Source organism: Homo sapiens, chromosome 7 (genome assembly GCF_000001405.40).
Source record: "Homo sapiens chromosome 7, GRCh38.p14 Primary Assembly".
Classification (NCBI taxonomy): Eukaryota; Metazoa; Chordata; class Mammalia; order Primates; family Hominidae; genus Homo; species Homo sapiens.
Window position 1 is genome coordinate 114,663,852 of NC_000007.14, and position 25,905 is coordinate 114,689,756.

General features: G+C 33.7%; 1 protein-coding gene across 6 annotated transcripts in view, besides 1 other annotated feature; it reads left to right on the plus strand.

Annotated features, from left to right (window-relative positions):
* FOXP2 (forkhead box P2) overlaps nucleotides 1-25,905 on the plus strand; it is a 607,439-nt gene that overhangs the window by 577,525 nt on the left and 4,009 nt on the right. For all 6 annotated transcript variants that reach the window (NR_033766.2, NR_033767.2, NM_148898.4 and 3 more), the window contains one exon: nucleotides 422-585. Coding sequence is in view for 4 of the 6 variants with exons in the window: in NM_148898.4 (NP_683696.2) it covers nucleotides 422-585 (164 nt within the window). In the remaining 2 variants the exon portion in view is untranslated. The remainder of the gene's footprint in view (nucleotides 1-421; nucleotides 586-25,905) is intronic.
* Nucleotides 23,006-25,866: an enhancer, noted in NCBI's record as "VISTA enhancer hs966". NCBI's record gives its function as "enhancer in: hindbrain (rhombencephalon)[6/11]" and the evidence as "EXISTENCE:transgenic organism evidence [ECO:0001131][PMID:17130149]".

A 25,905-nucleotide genomic window follows, 5' to 3' on the forward strand; every position in this document is an offset into this window, starting at 1 on the left:
TGCTTGTGGCAAAAACTTTAAAGTTTAATTATAATATATAATTTTTATGCAGAGGAGGCAAATGTCAGGACTTCTTTATTTTGAGTTAAGTTCTGGTCATTTTTAAAAAGCAGAGCAACTGCTTATATTAAACTGGAGTATTTCATTACATGTGTGGATTCAACATTTCATTATGCCAAAGGTTGAAACATGAGTGAGAAAGTTTGCTGCAAGGACGATTGTTTATATTTTCACATCGCACTTAATTTCCTTGCATCTCTGCCACAAGTAGCCAGTTAGGAATTTTTTTTCAATACATTTTCTTTTAATCCTTCTAAAATATCTATTTCCTTATTGGAACCCATTAAAAGAAGATACATGTTTTAAAAATTATTTTAAATGCCATTTTGAAAGTTGTTTTACACAATCTTCATTTCACTAGGCTGCCTTGGCAGAGAGCAGTTTACCTTTGCTAAGTAATCCTGGACTGATAAATAATGCATCCAGTGGCCTACTGCAGGCCGTCCACGAAGACCTCAATGGTTCTCTGGATCACATTGACAGCAATGGAAACAGTAGTCCGGGCTGCTCACCTCAGCCGCACATGTAAGTGTGGTTAACAGACTCTCTAAAGGGAAGAATCTATATTAATATGCTTCTTAAATTTAGAATTTTTCCGAAGTTTTTACTGTTGTATAAGTTGAAAATACAAATTTAAGTGGAGTTAAATTATACCACGTTCATAATATGACAAAGTTTATCAAAATCGGTTTTAATACATTTTTTAGATGATCTCAAATGCCATATCATTATTGTTCCAGCAGTCCTCTACAGATTCTTAGTACTACTAATGTTCTCTTGGGCATAAAGCAGTGTCTAAGATGAATCTACATCTTATGGGTCATTATCACAGGTTGGTTTGTATGGTGCAATAAGAATATTCATGATGGAATAAGTTGTTATAATTTTTACTACTGTTACAGGTCTCTAAACCATTTATGAACTGTAGTCAAGATATTGCCCGTTTTTATAAACCGTAAAATGCAAAGTTTAACTGTTACCCACAGTTTACATAGAAGCTAGTAAAGTGTAACTTTTTGCCTGTCTTATAAATCAGTGTAATTATATATTCAACTTTAATTACTGGTGCGTCTGTATTGGCAAGGTTTATAAGTTATATTTTATGCAAGACTACGATTCCTATTAATATTTAGCAGCTAACTATATCATTAATTACTCTAAAATCTTTCCCCTACCATCTTTTTAATGGAGCTGAGAGAGTAGAAGTATTAAAAATTGATGTATTGTGGATTTCAGAAATGTGTATGACACTTTAAAAAATGCCTGGCTTTTTTCAATAGTGTCAAGCATATTAGTGTCTTGTTTACTAAAATGTATTGACCGTGGTAGAACTCAGAATTCAGAGGAAAAAAATTTGAATCTGAATAATGAAGTGTGTACACCATTTAGCTGTCAGGATGAGTTGTAACTCATGTCTATACTTCCTAGAATTAAACGTCACATACTTCTAATTACAAGTTATTGAGGTAAGATTAGTCCTTTCTCTTATTTTTATATTGTCTTCCTTTATTTTTCCATTCAATATCTAGTAAAAGGTCTGAAAGAGAAATATACTCTTTATATGTACCCATTTTCACTTGACCTTTCACAGGGTATTATTTTTGTTGTCTTTTTAAACATTTTATTCTGTTTGACATATTAATGTCTTTAAGAGCATATGTCTAATTGCTTTATAGCACTTTTACTCTATCACCTTTGCAAAAAAACACACTGTGAACATTAATGTGTTTTATCAGGTTCCGAACCATTACTTCTTCAAAATGGAAAAATTTGTCTTTTGGAAGTGTCTTTAGATGTATTAAATAATACAAAAGAAGTAATAAAACTCAAAGTAGAAAGAACATGAATATATGCTCTTGAGAGTAGCAGTATTCTAAAACAAGGAAAGTGAGCAATCAGACAAAAGTTTTTATATCCCCGCTTTATCCTATCAGCCATGCAGTGGGTAGCTTGCGGCCTTTTACTTTCAGCAGTTCTCCTGAGTATGCTAAATAGTTTATTAAACATTATATTTCAGAACCTGAAATAATAATTGGGCTAAATTGTAGCATTGTTAGATGGGTATTGGTTTTCGTTTGGCAATTGCTACTTCAGATTTTTCATTTTATTATTAAAGTTTATGAAATATTTCAGAGAAATATTAGTATGTATTAGATAACACCTAAAAATTATACATATAATGTCCAGTATATTGCTGCTATGGGTTTATAAAGTTAAAATGTTCATAGTTAATATATAACACATTTTATGCTTATATGAATTAGTGCATTTGAAAAATACTTATGTTTATTTTCCATAGATAAAAGGAAAGCTTGTTGAAAATAGATTTCAGAAAAAATAAAAATTAAAAGGGGTGTAAATTGTCCCTTTTTCTAAGTTACATCAATTATAATCAAAATTTTAATTATCTTGCAGAATATTGAGTCAATATTCATTCTTAAATCTGTTTCTGCTGCTGTCATTAGGTTTTTGCATAATAGATGTCAAATATTTATGAAATATTTCAGTATTCTCTATCTTCACCTTTATAAAGTTCTAAGATGCTTGTACTTAAACCATGTTATGTATTTTATTAGGCAAAGGAAGAAATATTGATATAATTCTCTCAGTCAAAATTTGGTTGTATATAATTGAGTGCATTTCAAAATACTTTGGAAATTAAACAGAAGTGAAATAATTTTTATAAGACATTTACACAGCATACTTATATCTCCTAAAATGAAGTCATGTTACTTGTTGTTTTAGAGGGGGGTAGTTGTGCTGATGCAATTGTAAACAAGAGGAAATAGGGCCTAGTGGTATCAGAACATAGGTTGTAATGCCAGACTGTCAGGGTTCCAATTCCAGATTCAATAGTTAATAGCCAAGTGGGATTGAGCACGTTACTTAATATTTCTTTCCTCAGCTTTCTCAGCTGAAAATGAGGTAAGTAATAATATAATGCTTCTTATTTCATAAGATTCTTGCAAAGAAATGAGTGCCTGGAACATAATAATTGCTCCTTGTGTCTCTCATAGTGCTGTGTAAATAGGTACTGATTTATATTACTTCCTGTAATACCTCACTGTTACTAAAAATGAGTCTATAAACAATATGAAAATATTTTTGTATTTTGCATTTTAAGGCACTCTGTAAGTTTGTGGTTAGTCATTGACAATCCATTTTCTTCTCCTTCTTTCTTCTCTTATAATTCATAAAGTAAGCAGATCCATAAAACTGAAACAACATGAGGCCAGGCATGGTGGCTTATGCCAGTAATCCCAGCATTTTGGGAGGGGAGGGCAGGAGGATTGCTTGAGGCCAGGAGTTCAAGACCAGCCTGGACAACATAGTGAGACCCTGTATCTACAAAAATAATTTTAAAAATTAGTTGGGTGTGGTGTGTGCCTGTATACAGTCCTAGCTACTCAGGAGGCTCAGGCAGGAGGAAAGCTTGAGCCTAGGGATTTCGAGGTTACAGTAAGCTATGATCATGGCATGGAACTCCAGCCTGCACCACAGAGTGAGACTCTATCTGTCTCTAAAAATAAAAAGTGAAACAATATGACACAAGGACTTATTATAGGTAGCACATTACCTATATTTAGGTATCTGAAGTTACCTAGTTATCTGAAGTTTTAGGCAATGAACAACTCAAATAGAACAACACCAACCCAGAATCAGGGACATATCATATATGTCTTGAAAACATTGAGTATTAGTTTTGAAAGGAATTTAGAATACATAAGGGAATACAGAATTTAGAATATAGGAAGTGGGACCAGACTGCTGAGTGACTTAAATATCAAGCTATGGTGTTTGTTTCAGTCAGTATACAGCTTGTTACTGTTATCAGCTTGACTTTGACACGATCAGAGCTATGCATTAGAAACAGTAATCTAAAAGTGTACTGAATGAACCATGACTTAATGAAACTCATGTATAGGAGAATATTCTGAAATTGGGAGAGACTGGAAGCAGAAAATTAATTCTTGCAGTATGTAATATCTAACATAAATACAAGACTAGGAGTGGAGAGCAAAGAATCCGTATAAGAAGTGCTGTGAAAAGAAATACTGGAACAAGACAACCAACTGAATGCTAGGGACAAAGATGAAAATTGGGAAAATTCATAGCCACTTTAAAAGTCTGCAAAGAGAAATAGAGGACACAAGAAGCAGGTTCAAAAGGGAAGATGAAGAATTCAGCATTTTACTTGGGGAATCTAAGAACCTAAATATCATTAGATTCAGGAGAAAACACTGATGATTTTTTTGATTAGTCTTTTAATTCAACTCCATTATAGTAAAATTCTACGTGGTAGAATATGAATATATACCTGAGGTTGATAGAGAAGATGTTTTTTGAAGCATTAGAAGAGTGAAATAGATATGGTCTGGTGCTTCTTATAAATTGTGGAGAACAAGAGATGCCAAATTATCATTTATATTCCATACTCCATATTTTAACCCTTTTCTTCCACTCCAGTTTTCGCTTTATTCAGTGTCCTGAATAAAGGCCTCTTCCAAATTAATGCATTTATTTCGCTCACACTATTTGAATTTCTGCCCTTTCCCTTTTCTGGTTCCCCTCTACTCTCTTACCTAAATTCTACCTTTCCTTACAGGACTAGTCCTATTTTTTTCCAAGAGGGTTTCCCAAGGAATTTTACTATCAGGACCATGCACTCTGCTCCACACTTCTAAAGAGCTTGCTTCTTATACCACTATTTTGGACTAATACTTTGTGTACATGTGTGAGTGTGTGTGCACACACACATGCACGTGTGTTTATGCATACATCTGTGTTCATTTTGCAGATATCCCTACCTTAATGACAAGTCCCTTAAAGACAGATTATGTTTTAGACAAATTATAGTATAAGAAACCCCTAGCACATTCTACTATGTCAAGTAAGCATTCAGTAAAAGTATGATACTGATTATGAAGAATCAAATTGGAGATTACAGTTAATTAGAAATGGTTTGACTTCACAAAGTCATACTTACAGGAGTATAAAATCCAGGGTTCTCCTAGAATCTTGAAGAAGGAGAACAAAAGAGATTTTAGGAAGAACAGATGAGTAAATATAATGTTCATTTTTATGTGGGAGCTAGGAAAATTTTCTAAATATTGGTAGACTATACTTTTTAAGTTTTATTTTTAGTTTTAATTATTTAATTAATATGTATTTTATAACCATTCCAATTTACGTGAGTAAAAAGTGGCTTTCCACTTTGAGTAGAATGAGGCCCCTTCACCTCATTCATGATTATCATCTCAACCTTGTTAAATTTTATTTACATTGTTGAAAGATTGAAAACAATTATCAAAATTTAGGCAATATAAATCAGATGAATGTTTAAGGGGATTTCAGCAAAAAGTAGGAAAGGTTAAAGCCAGGCGACATTGTATAGATTCTACATAATAATTTTTTGAAACTTCTTTGACTGTTTTGACTCAACTACTTATTGATTCAAAGCAAGTACTTCACTTTTAAAACATTTTTATTTTCTATTGCTGTTCAAAGAGTCCTAGAAACATCCATGGTATGAATAAAGGAAAACGATACTTTAAGTGTCCGAGCTGAGTATCATTACAATTTATAATATTGTTCCCTTATGCACCTGAATGCCAATATTCCCTTTTTCAGAGTTATATAGAATATGAATTAAAAATGACTAGCTTCCTATTTTATATAGACATTTACCTCTAGAAATGTTTAAAAGGTTAGGATTGATGCTGTCTTTAAGCAGAAATAATTTGAACTTACTGTCTTCTCTCATGTGTTGGACTTAAGTGAATGACAAGAGAAGAAAACATGTAGACTAGACTTGGAAGATGAACGCATACTGATACAATCAATCCATTTCCTGTCTACTTCCCAACCTAAGGCAAGAAGTGGAATTTAATGATGTACCCACCATGTTTAGTTCTACTCAGTTGTTTCTTTTTGTATTAAGTAATTGTTTCTCCTCATTCTCAATAAGTTGGTTCAGATTTGCTGTTCTTCCTCGTATAAAATGTTAAATGAGATTCCCATTTTTATATTTTCAAATGTTGTGTCTAGAGATCAAAATAAATATTCTTCCCTAGCTGGTTTTGTATGGAGTGCTTTACTCACAAAGCCTCCCATTGTCATGTCATTCCCCTTTCTGATTATTAGAGTCTCCTACTGTTGAGTTTTCAGATCCTTTCTTATATGTCATTCGTGACTCCTCTTAGCCTCTATGTCATTTCAAAGTTTTGCTTGCTAAATATTCTATATTCGTTGTAGGTGATTATTATTTTCTCCTGTTAGTAAAGCAATTATCTGAAGCTTGAAAGTTAAAAATCTTTTATATAGAACGTTAATATATTGGATATAATATAAGAAAATTAATTTATTGTGTCCTTAGAAGGCAAACCCTTAGGAGAAGAAAATAAAAGGCTGAGGTGTCATATAAAATGAGTAATGTAGTATTATTTCAGAATTGCAATAGAGATCATAAGATTTTTTTAAAATTTGCATGTCAAATACCTATTCAACATGCTCCAGAACTTTGTATACATCACATACCCCAGTCATCTTTACGACATCCTCTTCTTCTTCATAACCTCAGTTGTTAAATCATTTCAATATTATACTTTGGCCTCTCCTGTTGATAATATTTTGCCCCATAGATAGCTAAAAGGTGCTCCTAGACCCCCACTGGATTAAACAGTATTGAAAATCTAAACTTTGAATTGTCATAAAACATAATGAAAACATAAGTATATAATATTACATTTCTTCCTTCTATTCTCTTTGGCTGCCTTAAAATTTAAATTGCTATTTGTAGGCACATGTAGAATTTGCAGGCCCTACATCTTTGGTTGCTGATATTTTATATAAAATCCCTGCAGATCTTAGATCTCTCTGTGGACAAAAGCATTTGAAATTGGAGTGGCTCTGTATTTCAGAGGAAAGCAGTTGGAAGTGACTGACAACTTGAGCAAATGGAATGCTCTTTCTCATTGTTTTCATTCCTGTTAAGCCTGTACTATTTTTGCTGATGTTTTGGATCATTATGTTGCATTGCAAAACTCTAAACATGAAAGCTTTTTTTTTGCCTCACATATGTTTTCATAGATTTTTTAATTAACAATTTTTCAGTCAACTTTATTTTTTTCTAACATTTCTGGTCCTCTTACAATTTTTCTTCTGATTTAATTCCATTTTTATTTAATCTCTAAACTTTTTGATTAACTTTGCTAGTTAGCTTTGAGATCTCTTTCCAAAGTGATTGTACGGAACTTATGATTATGCCAGCTCTTTATCATCTCATCTTTTTTTTTAAGTGCTACAAGTGTGGATCAGTAGCTGCTGTTCTTTTTTACATTATTCCAGTCCCCATATGTGGCACTTACAACTCATTCCAGTTCCTCTTAATAAAAAGATCCTCCCAGAGATACAGTGCCTTTAGCTAAAAAGTGTTATATCCCCACCGTGCCAATTGTGGAAATTTGTGGGTTCCTATAGGGTTTTGAAGGATTTTTATAGAACTATACAGATGATATCTGACATCCGTGGTGTGAATTCCCACAATTTAGGCAAAGTGTGTCAGAAAACTTTTAGCTGACAGTATTGTAGCTTACTGCTTCTGTTTTATATCTAAAGAAGGTACTTTGTTAGAACATACAACTTCATTTGCACTAACACTAGTTGAGCCTTAAAAATTTCCTTTCTCTAACGGTCAAAAAATGATTACTGAATTGTTAAAGAAGGAATAATGCTTCAGTGTTAACTTTTTCCTACTTTCAGTACCAGGGAAAAAAAAATGAAGATCTTATGTACTGCTATGGTATTTTAATTTCAGCTTTCAACATAGGACTTGGGAAGTGGATATATGTTGGTGACCAGAGGCATTTAATAAATAAAGAGACTTACATAAAGTCAACTGTTATTTCAGAATATTCCTTTATGTGAAGGTAATTTACATGATAAGAAATTATGTCTTAATGTATGTTAAAATTATGTGCATTTTGACTGCTCTGGCAGAATTTAACATTTACCACTCACAGAAGTAACATGTTATACTTGAATATTTCAACACCAAGAAACACAGGGTTACTACATTCCATAGCCAGTTTCTATCATTAGAATAGCATTAAATAATTTATATAAGCAACAGATGATCAAATCATTTCACATAACTACTGAAAACTAACATTGTTTAGTTTGTTCAACATTATCTTCGTTTTGAAGACAAAATGGAGTAAAATCAGCAAGACACTTAAAAGGTAGGAGGATAAGTCACCATTGATCACACAATGTTATCTTACTATAAAAAAATGTATATTTGCAACATTAAATCTGAGGTTCCTTTTGTTAATTAGCAAGTCAAAGAAAGGACATGGTGCACTAGATTTAGAATAAAAAGTACATATTGTTGGCCGGGTGCAATGGCTCATGCCTGTAATCCCAGCACTTTGGGAGGCCGAGGTGGGCAGATCACCTGAGGTCAGGAGTTCAAGACCAGCCTGGCCAATGTGGCAAAACCCCGTCTCTACTAAAAATACAAAAATTAGCTGGGCACGGTGGTGGGGGCCTGTAATCCCAGCTACTTGGGAGGCTGAGGCAGGAGAATCGCTTGAACCCAGGTGGCAGAAGTTGCAGTGAGCTGAGATCATGCCGCTGTGCTCCAGCCAATGTGACAGAGAGAGACTCCATCTCAAAAAAAAAAATACCTATTACTTTTACTCCTTATTCATCTAATGTTTAGAACTAATAGAGTATATAACTAAGCAAAACTCAACTCAGGAGAAAGCCAGAGTTTGAGTCAGTTCTGTGGTTTAATTTGAGCAAAGGAATAGTGTCAGCAAAGCAGTCAGTCTCAGAAATTAGGCAGACCTAGTGACATGAGCAATATGTAGTCCAGGTGGAAAGTAGCCTCTGTAAAGGTATTCCAAGAGACAGCTTCACCAGGAGCCAGCAGCGGATGGGTAACAACTCCAATAGGGCAGTTTGGTAATAGGAAATAGATAACAGTTGAGAAAAATGGGTAAGCCACATCCAAAAGAGCGGCCACAGCAGTAGGGCTCAACTACAGGACTTTGAGGTCAAGATCTTCAAGGAGCCAGAATGCAAGTTATTAAATGTAATTACAGATAAACTGGAACATACACCCCGTATACTCATATTACCTATCTGATTTTTGACCGAAACTTGGTCCAACAAACAAGGCAATAATACAATTTTTGGATTAATGATTCAAAGGAGAATTGGAGCAGCAACAAGACTGACTTAAAGGCAAAGTGTCAAGATGTGATTTAGACTTGATTTGTCTGGCCAACAGATTAGAACTATAAGGGTCCTTAGATCCACAGCTGAATGTTTATTGATAGTTTTCATTTATGAGACACAAATTGGAATGGTACCAATTGTATCTCAGTGGCCAACTAATTTGTGTCTGAGATTGGGCACAATATATTTGTACTTATCAATGATGAAAGTAATTACATCTGTATTTTCATTTTATTACAGCTGTTTTGGTCACAACTATCACTTTTATAAAGTCAAATAGAGTGATAAATCCTGAAGAATTACATTGTGTTTTTTAAAAATTGACTCTACAGCAAAACTATCTGAAATCATTTGGGAGTGAGCCTAAATCATGTAAAATCTAGTTCCTTTAAACAATATTGCATAAATTTAAATACATTTCAATATAATGTTGAAGGTAAGAGCAGGAAATTCTAGAGAAATGTTGATATACATATATATGCATGCAGTTTATAAAATTATGTTTCACTGACCTTTACCCACCTTTTTGTTGTTTCTTTGGACTGATACTGACTTTTTTTTTGAGATGGAGTTTTGCTCTTGTTGCCCAGGCTGGAGTGCATTGGCACGATGTCAGCTCAATGCAACCTCTGCCTCGCAGGTTCAAGCAATTCTCCTGTCTCAGCCTCCTGAGTAGCTGGGATTACAGGCGCCTGCCACTACACCCGACTAATTTTTTTATATTTTTAGTAGAGACGGGGTTTCACCATGTTGGCCAGGATGGTCTCAAACTGCTGGCCTCAGGTGATCCACCCGCCTCGACCTCCCAAAGTGTTGGGATTATAGGCATGAGCCACTGCACCTGGCTGGACTGATACTGACTTTAAATGGAACTTTATAACTCCACCATGGAATCAGATCTCTTGAGTTGTAAGACATAATTATAAGCTGTCATCATTAAGAATGGAAATACATCTTAGAAGAGAAAATTTCATCACAATTATCTGAAAATAATATTCCTTTGCCATCAATGTAAGTGGCTGTAGTTTTTAGAAAATAGACTAAGGGAGGATAACATTTTTATCCTGGCTTATGATGAAAATTAAAATTTATTTTGATATTTATCATTAGCCAGGGAGAAAAGGTGTGGGAAATTTAGTAGGGCATTTTCTACTTATATCCTGGATAAAGGAAACTATACAGTTAATATGGAATGCAGAATCATTTGTTCACTCCAATTTTTGAATCCCCTTTTCATAATTGCACATTTCTTTAAGAAGGAATATTTTCGTTTTCATCAAGGGATAAGGAAGGGGATTATTTCTGTAGAACTGAAGTGATAGTCTGAGTACTGTCCTACTGGCAGCTACTACACGCAAACTCATTCAAATAAAAACAAAGATCAATTCATTTAACACTAGAATTTTTATGTCAAACGTTATTTTAATTTACCAAAGAGAAAATCTTGAAAGATAAGAAATGGGAATAAAGAACTACATAAGTAATAACTCTGTTGTATAATTTCTTAGCTGATAAAAGTTAAGAACATCTTTTTTCATTTCTAGTAGTTTTAATTGGACATCTTTCTTATTCAGTCCTATAAATAAGAGAGCTAAATACTTTTCTAAAATATATTTAAATTTAGAATGTAAAAATCTAAATTTCTGTGGAGAAAGCCTGGTTTATTCTTTCCAAAGAAGAAAATCTTAAGTAGAATGAAATAAACAATTTATTTATGACTGTATAATTAACTTTAATTACTCACATTTAATTATGTTATCCTTAGATCAGCTATCATTTTTAAAACTATTAATATGATTTCTGTTAAAAGTGAACTTTTCTACTTAAAACTTTAATGTCACTTATATTATTAGCTTTTTTCTGTGATATGTTAAATAAACTAAAACATTGCCCAAGTGGAGAAACAAAATATTACTCTAAAAGTTACATAGGCTTAAGAAATGAATTGTGTATCATTTCAACCTGGCTTCACACAAATGGAGATAACTAAACTTGTCGTTTTCATGAATCTACCATCAAATTCCAAAAATAATTATGTAATTTCCTTTATATATACTAGAAAGAAATGAGTAAAATTGAATTTCCATAATTTCCATTTTTATATAAGCTTCCTAAATGAGCGTCAGTTATTTTACCAGTTTTCCTGTGAAACTTTGTCTTTGAAAAAAAAAATACTTTTTTTGTATGTTCTGTTTGACAAGATTATATTTTCCAATATGTCAGTCAATACAGGTTAGCTACTCAAAAGTAACAAACGAAAACAAAAGTTAAGCTCAGGAAAAGACATTTAAATAATCCTGTGCTTATATTTTGAATTCATTTTATATCTTGAAAACAGCAATGTGATAGAGTAAGAATGAGGGTTTTGCCATTGGCAAATTGGAACTAATTTGAATGAAAATTTATTCAATCACGTATGAAATTGATAAAGTGCTAATCATGTATTTATTTTGAATGCTTAGATACAAAGAGTTATCATCATTAATTCAATAATCTTGTGCCAAGTACTGAAGATTGTAGATGGTTAAAAGGAAATCTCATCTTTTTACAGCATTTTTTTAATCTAGAAGGTTTTGATGCTATTTTGAGAAGTAGTCAAAATCTATGCATATCAATGGGGAACATATGACTATAGAAATAGTCTATTTTGATATTTTTAAATGTCATTAATTAACACTTAGGACATAACAGTATATAAGAGGTAAAAAAGAATTCATAGGATTATACACATTTTCTTTATTTTATTTTATTATTATTATTATTATTATTTTTTGAGACGGAGTCCCGCTGTGTAGCCGAGGCTGGAGTGCGGTGGTGCAGTCTCAGCTCACTGCAAGCTCCGCCTCCCCAGTTCAGGCGATTCTCTTGCCTCAGCCTCCTGAGTAGCTGGGACTACAGATATACACCACCAGGCCCGGCTATTTTTTTTTTTTTTTTTTTTTTTTTGTATTTTTAGTAGAGACAGGGTTTCTTCTTGTTGGCCAGTCTGGTCTCGAACTCCTGACCTCAGGTGATCCACCCGCCTCGGCCTCCCAAAGTGCTGGGATTATAGGCGTGAGCCACTGTACCCGGCCTAAAACGTTTTCTATCGGAGCTAGTTAATGTATTCCACGTAAGTTAAAGGTATCCAAATTAAATTAAGTAGAAGTAAGGATCAAGACACTTTAAAATAAAGGATTTGAACAAGTCTATATTGAATGGGTAATAGATGCATAGTTCAAGGCCTACACGTATTTCAGTATATTTAATATGTTTCTCAAAGTACTGTATGTGTAAGTTCATTTGACAGGATAAAGATTGCTGTATTGGATGAAATAAAATCAGTTTCCATAATAAAATTGAAGCATCAGAGTCCTAACACTGTTTGTGAGGATAGCTTTTTGAATGTTCTCTGGGGAGTAACATTTTTTAGAGTAATGATCCATGATTACTATAGAAGTATGTTATAACCTTCAGGTGTGCTAGGACAGGTGACAAGGCTAATCATATCTATAGGGTTTTTTAAAAGATGTATTTCTTTTGTAAAAAGTTGGTTATTACTTTTAAAAGGTATGCTATTTGAATGTATTGGATATTTTCTCAAATAACTAGAATTATAATAAGAAAAGATGTAAGGGAACTGCCTGCAATTAGTAAACCACATACAAACAATTTTAATCTAGTCTAAAATTTAGTCTTGCTTTATAGATGTTTGATAAAATTAACATCACATTGCTGGAAATTGCCCATATTGTAGATATGAGTCATAAATTTTAAGGTTTTGTTAACAGCATTTGTTGACATTTGTCATAAATGAGGTCAGGAGATTGAGACCATCCAGGCCAACATGATGAAATCCCATCTCTACTAAAAATACAAAAAATTAGCCGGGCGTGGTTGCGCGCGCCTGTAGTCCCAGCTACTCAGGAGGCTGAGGCAGGAGAATCGCTTGAACCCTGGAGGCGGAGGTTGCAGTGAGCCAAGATCACGCCACTGCACTCCAGCCTGGGTGACAGAGCAAGAATCCGTCTCAAAAAACAAAAAAAAAAAAAACAAAAAAAACAAACTTAAGACTTAAAATCTTTATTGTTAACTTCATGGAATTAATAAACACTACATTTCTAAGACCTGATTGAATTTACATTGTGCCAGTGAGTCTCTCATAAGTGATGACAGTATATAAATATTCTAGTCATTAACAGTTGCTAGTATCTAAATAAGCAAAGAAGAGAAGACATACGATTCTGTTTAACATCTATTGACTTAAATTTTGAACATCTCAGTTTAAGAGAACTTTATTCATAGTACTTTTTTATTCTAAAGAAAAATAGGAACGGTTTATAGAACCTTTGACTTAGTCTTGAGTAAGGAGAAAATGAATAAAATTTACATTACTCTAGGGAATACACTGTGTGACCACAATCTAAAAGGATAAACTTTCCCTTTATAATTTGACTGTTTGCTTTGGGGTATAGGCAAGCATTAACATTACTTCTGCCGTTCATTAGTGCCTTAGGTACTGGTAAATTTCACAACAAAAGCAACACATATCTTTAGGCAACAAATTTGTTTATCAGTGTATCAGTGTAGTTAGTCCTCTGTTTGTGTTTTTGGAATATACCATTAATGAGGGTGCCTGTAAAACGGTGAGATTAAACTAATCAACTGCTACTTTGCAATGTTTTCAAGTAGAGGCTTGCGAGGTTGAATGACCCATAGATGAGTTTCATTCATTTAAATTGGATAAACATTTATTGAACACCTATTGTGTGCATCATACTCTGCTAGAAACTGTGGCAGATGATCAGTGTCTACAGAGGTAAAACTCTAATAGAGGGATAAGTACATAGGTAGTATCAGAGACCAAGTGAAGGAATGAAGAGAGTTGCAAACAAATTGTGAAGTTAACGACTGAAGCATGCACATGCACGTGGGGAATCGGAAAAGACTTCATGAAGGATGTAATTTTGAGTTAGGCTTAACGTGAAGTCAATTTTTAGGTTGAACTTTATGAAATTATTCATATTTGACTTTTTTTTCCTAAAAAATAGCCATCTTAAATATTTCAACCTAGTATTGAGCAGAGATGAGGAAAGGCAGGATAGATGTAAAGGACATGAGGAGATGAGCAAAGATGACTAAAACATGGGTTTCATTCAGAGAACAATGACTCCTTTGCCTCAGGACAGGCAGCCTGCCTGGATGGGGATACCTGTAAAATGAGATTGCCCAGGAGTTTGAGAGCCGTGTCTTATAGCTCATTAATTTCCAAGCTGCTGATATGTAGGGACATGTCTTAAAGTTTACCAATTATTTGGAGATGCTTAGCAAGACCCTCAAGGGTATATGTTACCTACTTTTAAAAAGCCCTACATGCTTTCTTTTTGGTACTTCTCTCCGGAAATAAGTGACTCTTTTTTTTTTTTTTTTTTTTTTTTTTGCTTGAGAAACTAGCAACACTTTATGCCCCTTCCTTCAATATTCAGTTTTAAAATACATTTTTCCTTAAAATGCTATAAGAACACAGATGAAAAATTAAAAATAAATAAAATGTCCGGAGACCACACATCAATGTTATTGTGGCCATTGCTGTTACTAGCACCTTAATCACAGAGAAGACTGTGGGGGAATTTGTTTTCAGAATCTTTTCATCTTCACTTTCTAATATCCAAACTTTCTGAGATTTGCTTTCATTGTTCTTGAGCAATTAAAATAACAAATACAAAGATTCATAGAGGTTGCTTGAGAGTCATGAAAAGTTAAGATGTATTTTAACTATTTTATTGATTTTTAACTTTCAGTATTTTTGACAGATTTAGGCTCTTCTATCTCCTTGGTAGAGCATAAAAATAAATATTTCATGTACATTGTAAATTTATAGAGTTCAGTGATGCGATCTCAGCTCACTGCAACCTCCACCTCCCAGGCTCAAGCAATCTGCCTGCCTCAACCTCCCACATAGTTGGGATCATAGGCACCCGCCACCATGCCCGGCTAATTTTTATATTTTTAGCAGAGATGGGGTTTCACCATGTTAGCCAGGCTGGTCTCGAATTCCTGACCTCATGTGATCTGCCCACCACAGCATCCCAAAGTGCTGGGATTACAGGCGTGAACCACCATGCCCGGCCTACATTGTAAATTTAAAAGTAGTAAATGCAAAACCTTTTTACTCCACAATCTATAAATTCTTCACTTCTTTCCATCATTTCTAATCCTACCACCTTAGTGGTCTGACCATCATTAACTTATTACATTGTTTTAGTAAGTTCCCATTTGGCAACTCTACCTGCAGTGTCCTACACTAAGCCTATATTTTGCAAATTCATCTTCATAAAACTCTTCTACCTTTTCATTATCCTGCTCAAAAACCATCAATAGCCTTTGAGCAGAGATTAAATTTAAACATCATGAAATGCAACTCAAAGGCCTTCTCGTCATCTGACCTCATTCTGCTATTCTAACACACACACACAAACACACACATTATCACCAGCCCTCCTTCCCCCATGCACTCTCAGGGTTCCCATAACATGTCTACGATTCTCCATTTTCCCTATTTCTACTTGGAATGTCCTCTCTCTCATCTCTGCATAATAAAAATTTTCACCTATTACAAAGCCTACGTGAAGCTACACCACTCTCCTTCATAGAGCATTCACTGATTGAATTGTCAGAATTTATCTCCCCTTTTATAATACTTTACCTACTGTGGCATCGATCACATTCTGCCTTGTGTTAAAGTTACTTGTATATATGTCTTACCTCCTCTATTAGACTGAAAACTTGATGATAACAGGAACCATTGTCCATGCAGCCCCTATCCCAGAAGTTTACACACAATGTCTATTGACTGGATTTTTTTTTCCACTTCTAACAAGAAGTAACTTTTATCCTCCTAGAGGTACTTCAATTTCAGTTACTGACTTTGTACCTCTGTCAGGGAATAATAACAAACTTTATATCTCTCCATTACTCAATACTTCTTTTCCTCCAGTTGTCTAAAGAAGTTCCAAATATGTTTCTAAATCTCACAAATGTAAATTAAATTAAATTAGGAGCTGGCTATGCCTTTTTAAAGCAAGAAACATAAATTGGTGTTTTTTTGTAGTAAGGAAAATGTTGTGTACTGAAAGGATCGATTAAATTTGAAGTCTTCTATTTCATGGATAGAACAATTTTTAAAGCATTTGCAATGAATTCCTGGATTCTGGTTTGCAGAAATATTCATTATTTGCCAAATGGGTAATTTGCACTAAAACCAAAGTTGATGTTACTTCAGTGCCCCCTTAAAGGAATGTGATGTTTTATCAGGCTTAGAAAAACTGCTACCGAAATAGACATAAATCCCTTCTATCTGTGACCTTCTATGGCAAAGGTTTGTACTCTTTAATCTGTAATAATACAAGTACTTGGCATATTTTAGGTGCCCAGTAAATAAATGAATCACTGGAAAGACTATACCCCTTACACTCCTGCCTTAAGCTATGTTAAAAATTTACTGGGAGGCTGAGGCAGGAGAATCACTTGAACCCGGGAAGGCGGAGGTTGCAGTGAGCCGAGATCGTGCCACTGCACTCCAGCCTGGGCAACAAGAGTGAGACTCCATCTAAAAAAAAAAAAAAAAAGTTGAAGAAAGTAGTGCATAAATTTCAAAAGAAAGTAGTGCATAAATTTCAAAACAGTTGGGGAAAAATGGCATAATGAATGTCTGAACCATCTAGAGGAGATCTTCAGATCCAGAAAGGGGATTTTATCACTAGGATAGTCAAGAATTTCTTTCTTATTTCCATCTGAACTTGCTCTTACTTTACTGTCTTTAATGAATTATATTAAGAATACATGTGTTTTAATACTGTTAGAACATTGGCATTCTTCTTAGAGGCAGGTAAGTTTTCCAATTGTTAACTCCTATATCACTTAATTGCTGCTTTTCTTAGGACACTTAGGGCTGGCAATCTTGTACATTTATTCTTCTTATACTAGACTACAAGTTCTTTGATAGATATTAAAAGCCTCACTGTGCCTTATATATAGAAGATACTCAATAAATTTTTGTTAAATTAGAGATTGGCAATAGGAGATAATGTTAATATGTTATTGGCTTTTCCTGTCAAAGTGAGATAGATGCTCTTTACATCATTATAGATACAGGGGACTTGACTCAATCCACAGCATAAAGGAATTCCTGGAGGAAAATTTTACTTTCTAACAGGCTTATATATATTGCTACATCTCTTAACATTTTCATTATTTAGTCATATTAAGTTAATCTATTTAAGATTTTTCTAGCTATATGTATATTATCAGAACTTCATAAGCCCCAACGTGCATAGCAAATGTGATGCAGGCCTGGATCAATGCATGTGTGTTAATGATTTTAATGACAAGCTAATGATGAGGCCTGTGATGGATGACTGAGGAGAATAAATGTAGGAGCACTATGTACAGAGCATTTCAATGATGGCTCCTCTACTTTGAAATTTACTTTCTTCTATTGATCTGAAAGTGATCTGAGACATAACCTGGCCATTTAGCTTAGTATTTTAGTGACCCAGAATTTGTTGGTAAATAATTTTTTGAAATAACTATAGCAATATGTTGTGTTGTTTTATTTCCTTTTATTACCTTAAATATACTTTTAAGGAAATGTGACTAGTCATTAATAACTCTAATGCCAGGCATCTGATATGTGAGGCACATATATCTTTGTTTCATGACTTTTTTGATACAGTAATAAAAATCTCACTTTAGAAAGAGGTACTGAAATACTTTTAGAGCTAACGAAACTCATACAATGTTAAAAAATTAATTTCTGTATTTATACCATACTTTCTTCCAAAAAAGGTTATAAGGTTATTATATATTATGACTGTGTTCAGTGTTTATTGATCACTTATGATCCAGGCACTATTTCAAGTGTTTTACATATATGCAAAATAATTTAACCCTTATAACGAGTGTATAAGGTAGTCACTGTTTTCCTTGCTTTATGGGTAAAGAAATGGAGATACAGAGAGGTTAAGTAGCTTTTCCAAGGTTGCATAGCTAGGAAGTAAAGGAGCCAGGCTTCAAACCCAAGTATTTTATCCTCAAAGCCCACTATATTCTTAACCACTTAATCACTGCTGCGTGACTAAATATTATAAATGAGGTGCCTAAACTATTCAGTATTACTTTATACCACACTTAGAAGTTAATCAAAATACTAAATACATAAAATGCATCACGGTAAATTATATTCTTATAATTAAAAACCTGTAGATAATTCTACATGGGAAGAGGATTCATAATGAAGAATTGGTGAGCACAGAAGAGAGTTTCTTTAAAGGGATTCTTTTATTTTATTTGAATTGTCAGGGATGTTTCTATGTTGGAAAGAAGCATTTTTGTAGAAGAAAACCTAATTATCCTATGGTAGTGTAACACATGGCACCTTGAGGAATTTGCAGAAATGAACACCACAGAAATATCCACTTTTTCTTTTGGAAATAAATTTAATGGCTCTCATATCCTATAATGGGGCAAAAAGAGAAAGAAATTGCCAATGGTCACAAGAAGAGACTAATTCTCTATTCATCCTGCAACCCACAAAAGGCATGTGACTTCATTGTGTTCCATTTCTTTTGAGTTGGCATATAACTTGACAAGTGAAAACATGGAGCACTTTGAGATCCAAAAATGAGAAACCTAATATAAATAGAGATAATTATAATAGAAATTTTATTTTTATTGAAAAGTATTCCACCAATTTATAGGCATAGGTACTGTAACTTTCAAGCAATTTTATTTTCTGGAATGTTGAAACTTCTCTTGCTACTTTTTATTTCTTCCTCTGATATTATATTGATGGCAAATAGATCTTTTAAAAATTGAGCATTAATAATTATTGACTTTAGTTTGCTTTATTTTAGGAAATTAGCAGCCTAACATTGTAGCCATTGGGGAAAATTTTATGTACAGCTTTTCCAGCTCTGATATCTTTTTCACTAGTTCTGAATGGAAAATATTCCAAGCATACTTAATTTCAGAGAGGTATCTTCTCTATTAGAATTAGTACAATGAAACTCTTAATGCTTTCATGGCACGTAATTTATTCACTCAACATGTATTTACAGTGTGCTATGTGTAATGTCTCCTAATCTGTGAAGTTCACAGTCTACTTGGCAAGATAAAGTATAGCTACCAGTAGAAAGAGTTAAGTGACAGTGCATGTGATTAAGGCAATATGGGGTAGCAGAAATAACAAGGTTCCAAGAAACTTTCTAGAGGCCAGTGTGTGTGTTTGTCTTTGCTGTGCCTGTATGCAGACACTTGGACAGTCACTCCTTTACTCATCTGTAAAATGGGAAGTCAAATAACAATAACGTTACATTAGACCCAGTTTTAGGATTCAAAGATTCTGTAGTTTTGAGCATCAGAATGACCAAAAAATGCTTTGAAGGTTCAGAGTAGATCAATGAAATGTGGACAGGTCGAAGTCTTTAGGAAGTAGACACAGTGTGAGTTGATCCTTAAGTGGTAGACAGGATGTGTGTGAATAGGCAGAACAGGGTAGAAGGATGTTCCATGTATACACGGAGAGTTGAAAGGGGAAACACAGCCTGAGTCTCCATGAAAAATGTCTTGGAGTAGGAACTGAAAACAATGTTTCTGGGATGATGTTTTGAGTCTGAAATGGAAGTTATTATTCAGAAATATTGTTGTACATAGATAGGTGGAGATCAGATCATAGTTTATTGAGAATGGCTGAAGGGTTTTGGCTTAATCCTCTTTCAACCCCGTGTCTCAGTTCAGACATATTTTTATACAGGGCAGTGGCATAATGAAATAAATAAAGTTCTTGCATATTAAAATTTTCTGAGACTACAATAGAACATACCTCTTTAGTCATTCTTTTAAAAAATTTTTCTTTATGTGCTTTTTTTAGAGACAGGGTCTTGCTTTGTTGCCCAGGCTGGCATTCCTCCCACCTCAGCCTCCCAAGTAGCTGGAACTACAAACATGGCTTCTATGTGCTTGTTTCTAAATAATACATCCTATTTGTTATTCCTCTTTATCAAGAACTTGAGATTTTTCCACGAGGTTCTTTATTCAAATAAAACCCAACCCAGAAAGGTTAACCCAAATGAACCAGATGCATATGATATTGCAGTGGTTTTGCTGAGGAAACAGTTGAAATGCAGCAGGGAATTCAGAAACTGTCAGAGGAGGGGGACCTCCGAGGTCTTCTCAAGTGTCCTGAGTATATTAAAACACACTCCTGCACAAGAGCTCACATCTGTATCTAAAACTATGGGATGCCCAAAATAATGCTTATTGACTTGAAGGCAGTCGCCTAGACCACTGCTAGATATCTATGTATGTGGCTTGACAGTAACTCAATATCTATTTAGAAATACTCAGCTATTAAAGCCTGAAAGTTTTGAATATTCGCAGGTCATTTGTGAGACCTAATTAGAAAAAGGTGCTATTATATTAACCTTAGGAGTTTATTCTAATTATTTCCAGCACTTAAGAGTTTAGCATTCTCTAAAATGTTCTGAATCCCAGATTAAACCAGGAAAATCTAAAATTATAAATTCAACTTATAACTATTATTAAATCAAAATGTCATTTTTTATAAAAGTCATTAAATGAATATGAACTTTCACAAGTAATCTCATTAGAAGATTTCATTTGTATATTTTAGAGGGTACTTTGGGAATATTAACATTAGATTTAATAAATGTTTAAAATTCTGTACATGTCTACATGAAACTGTAATATACTAGTTGGTTCATCTATTATTTTACTCAAACTATTGGCTAGTTCAATGAACCATTTATTCAAAGTAGTTGTTGAGTTCAGTTGGTTGATTTTTTTTTTTTTAGTCAGAATAGTTGGGTTAGTCTTTAAAATAACACTGATAAACATCTCTTATGGATTTAGGCTTTTACTATTCTGAAATCACCTATGGGTATACACTCATACACAAGCACACATGCTTATGTGCAGATCTTTCCCCCTCTCCCAGTGGTGCATGTTTTCCTGATAGCACATTTCTAACTTGCAAATTGGCTATGGAACATTTCATTAGGACCAAATAGTTTATTTATCACGTTAAATAGTACCTACAAACTAGTCATATGCATACAGTAGAGTCCTATTTTTTTATTTATAAGTAATTCTTTAATACATAGTATTAGTTATTTGGGGGCCTATGGTTTTATTTTATAATTTGTCATGCAGGATAACAAATAGTACCTTGGAGACTTAAAACTATGATAGTTTTCCTTATATAAATAATATAGTGCTTTGGATTTAGCATGAAACATAAGCATAATAACTTCAGTTTCGTTAACTATCAATGACAAACTCTTCTTGGCTTTTTATTTGTATTGGCTAAAATATAATTTCATGATTTACCCCACAGTGTGCAATAATGGCGTTATAATGGCCACTTCGAGTAGTCTCTAACCTATCCCTAGGGAGTAATCTATACTGAGAATTGAGAGATTAAAGCTGATAGTAGCTTGATACAGTAGCAACATTTGGGAAATTCCAGTGTTCTTTGCCCATGCATGCAAAATGTTAGAACAGTTCCAGAAATTGTCACCCCAGAATTGGCTTTTCTGATGGGCTTTAAAGTACTTTTCTTATATCTGTGATACTCCTCTAATAACAGTTACAATGTTCTGGAATCTCATTTACAACTATTCACTTTTAAAGGAAATAATACAGTGTCTAGGGAAAAGATGAGCTGCTAAAGCAACTCCACCCTTCAAAAAAAGTTGTCATAAGATGAACTATGAACTTAATAAGGATGATCCAGGAATATCAAGAGGAAAACCGGTGTTTTTTTTTTTAAAAAAAAAGCCAAAATGTGAACCGTCTTCACCATATAACACTAGTGACAAAATAAACTAATTAGAATTGTATTAAACTTTTTGCCCCATCTAAATATACTTTCATATATGTAGTGCCATTTCTAATCAAATAGTTTACAAATAATAAGTTTTTTTTATACTATAGTCTATGCAATACCTGAAATTATAATACTTCTTTTTTTTTTTTTGAGATGGAGTCTCACTCTGTCACCCAGGCTGGAGTCCAGTGGCACTGTTTCGCCTTACTGCAACTTCCTGCTCCCAGGTTCAGGTGATTTTCCCACCTCGGCCTCCCGAGTAACTGGGATTACAGGTGCATGCCACCATGCCCAGCTAATTTTTGTATTTTTATTAGAAACAGAGTTTCACCATGTTGGCCAGACTGGTCTTGAACCCCTGACCTCAAGTGATCCACCCACCTTGGCCTCCCAAAGTGCTGGGATAACAGGAGTGAGCCACAGCGCCTGGCCAATACTTAAGTCTTTATGCTTTTAATGTTCGGCTTTTTAGAGGCCACTACGGAAATATCAAAGTAAATGTTCTTGTAGCACATTCTAATATCCAGTTCAAATTTTAACTTCAGTTTCAAATTTTGTCTTGTCTCATTGCTGGCAAAATAATGTATATATCTTCATTTTCTCAAGATTGGTAAACATTTTGTTTGTTTTTCTTTGTTTGCTTTTGCTTAAAAGAATATGTCTCTATAAGGACATCTGGAAATAGCTATGAAAATAAAATCTAAAAATTTTGTGTGTATCAAAGTTATTAAAATATTCTGAGCACGTATACTTTTTAATATAATTATTTTTAAATTATGATTATTATAAAATTTTTAAGACATTTTCTTTTAATGAGCCGAACACTTCTGGAATAATGTCAATGAGCACGTTCAAAGGGACATTAGGATTCCATTGCAGTTGAACTTTCTAGGATCCAAATGTTTTTTGAATTTGCATGCACTATAGTAATATATTGAATGAGTTTTAAAGTGCCCTAAGTGCTTTGTTATTTAGGAACTTTTATAAATGTTGTATACTTGTTGCTGAATAACGTGAAATGTCTGTTTCTGAGCTTTGAATTATCATGTGATAAGAGTTTCCTAAATATTATTTGATTCTACGGCATATAGATTTTTATATTGATTAAGCGTTATTTCCATTTAGTTTACGGGAGAGTTTTGATGAACACCCAAGCAAAGCAACTTCCCTATGTTCTACAAATCCAGTTGGAGCATAGCTAATATGGTTTGTGTCACCATAAAGAATGACAATACACCTTATTTCATTACAATACCCTGCTAATGACGTTATTTGCATCCCCAGCATATCTGTGCATGATTGCTGGTAATAATCCTGTCATAATATGCAAGTGTCTCATTCCAATTGCAGCAATGAATTCAAAGATACATAGTACACATTTATTTCTGACTTCATAATGCTTGCTACTCATTAAATACTAAATGACTCATCCAGACATCTTAATATAGCGTAAAGTGACTGAGAGAACTAATAATTTTTCTCGCTTTTTCAAACCACACAAGCATGTTACTGATTTATAATTAATGCAAATTAAAGCTGTAAGCTATGTTTTTCACATTAGGAGAAGGCTTTGCTATGTTTTATGACTGCAGCGACCTTGTGTAGTCTAGACTCATTTGTCTCTCTTTAATATTTTTAAGTACATATCTCTAGGATTGTTTGTTACCATATGATAAATATATGTGACAGTACTTTTAGAAGCCTTTCTTTGTCATAAAGCTCAAGGGACCCTCTCCAACCAAAATAAATTTACATCCCTAGGTAATCATTCACATTGAATTAGTTATTTAAGGATATTTTATTTACTATGTAATGAGTTCTAATTAAATTTTAAATTTTTCTGTGAATCTTACATTAAGAAGTAACTCATGAAGAGAATTCTCAAGAATTTTCTAGCCTCTTATATCAAATATTTGTCACGTTTTAAAACTAAGAAGACACACACACATATATACATACATATACATAGACCAATAGAGATGGCTACAAGTAGTTCGTTAGTATGGATGAAACTGCAAAAGCCATTTGTGAAGTAAAAAATGAGATAAAACTTTTTCATAAACTTCAGGGTTTTTTTTTTTTTAATGTGCTTGTCCTTTTCCTTTCTTTTAATTTTTCCTTTTATTCTTCTCTCCTACAAACACACACAAACACATGCATACATGCATACACACACACACACACACACACACACACACACACACACATCTTTTTTTTTTTTTGGCCTAGTTTTGCATTTCAACATGCCTGGTTCAAACTAGCTAAAAAACGTATAATTTACTAACACCAAACAACAAAAACAAAGGCTAAAGCAAAACAAAACCTAGAGTTTCCCAATAAGGTTTGAATAATAAGTTATTTTGCAATGAATATTAAAGCAATCTGTACCTTTTAAAATTCAAAGTTACTTCTTTCATTGAAGAATGTAGCCCAAGAGATGGCTGGCAGGTTCAGTCACTTTCTAATGCAAAAACTACTTGATAAGGAATCTTTTTCACAGCGATTCCCTGATGCATCTAATGTGTCAAAAATAATTAGGTTTTGGCAGATTTATCATTGCAGCACAACCCTTTCCTTGAGTAGGGCCTGGATCATGTTAAGCCTTGTTTGTGTGTGACAGCATTATTATTCTTGTTAGTTGCCCACTTCCCCATCACTCTGTTGTGTTTGGAAATTTCCCACCTCAACTTGTGTTCCTCACCAGTGTTTTTCTTCATTTATTGACAGTTGGTAAAGATATTCATTAATTTAGAGTTAAAAACATGTATCATCATGTCTCACTGAACTGCTGGGCTGAAGTTGATTAATGGCAAAGCCTTGCTGCAGGTTTTCCTCTTGAGAAGCAGCTCACCAGCCCTGCATATTAATGAGAGATTGCGGTTTCTATTAACAAGATAAAAAAGCAGGTCTTCTCTTGCTTCAGGGGTAAAAAGGATGAAAAAATTTGATTATTTATATATAATATTTTTCCACCAGGTGCTATCTGTGAACCTTCATAGCTTTTCTCAGATCACAGTGACCTTTCTAATATATTTTGGGGTTGGAGGGATAATAAACTTCAGCATATACGTTGTTTAAGTTTCTATAATTATATTGCTGTGGCTGGTGTATTCATGACAAAATTTTAATTACATAATGTATGTACACACACAAACATATAAATATGTGCTTGAAAATAGTACTGGCATCCTGGTAATGAAGACGCTTTAGCCCCAGTTTATTTTCTGAAATTTGTTAGTATTTGTTTCAACAAACACCCAATCTAGCTTATACTGGAGAGTTTAAAAAAAAATAGAAATAAAATTGTTAAACTCAAGTCTGAAATATTTAGAAATAACAGTTGTTATCTTAATTGCTAGCAAAAAACTGAATGGTAAAAGTGTTTTCATTTGTTGATTAATTATTTGTTTACTATTCCTTTACTACCACTCCTTGATTATCATGTTATAACAAATACTAACAAAACATTTCATTCAGAAAGAATGCTGAGAAACGGATGTTTTACCTAAACAGCACAGCATGTGGGAGTCCATGCTCACATTACTCTGAATCCCTGCCTCCACAGTTCTACTGTAAAGTATCATGTCTCTAACCAGCTCACGCAATCAATCAGATGCCCTTTTAAGAAAGACAATGTTGTGTCTTCTTGCCTTTTTTCAGTTGACCTCTTCACTGCAAAGTTGGCCAAACTCTGTTTGTTGCTTACTTAGTAAAAT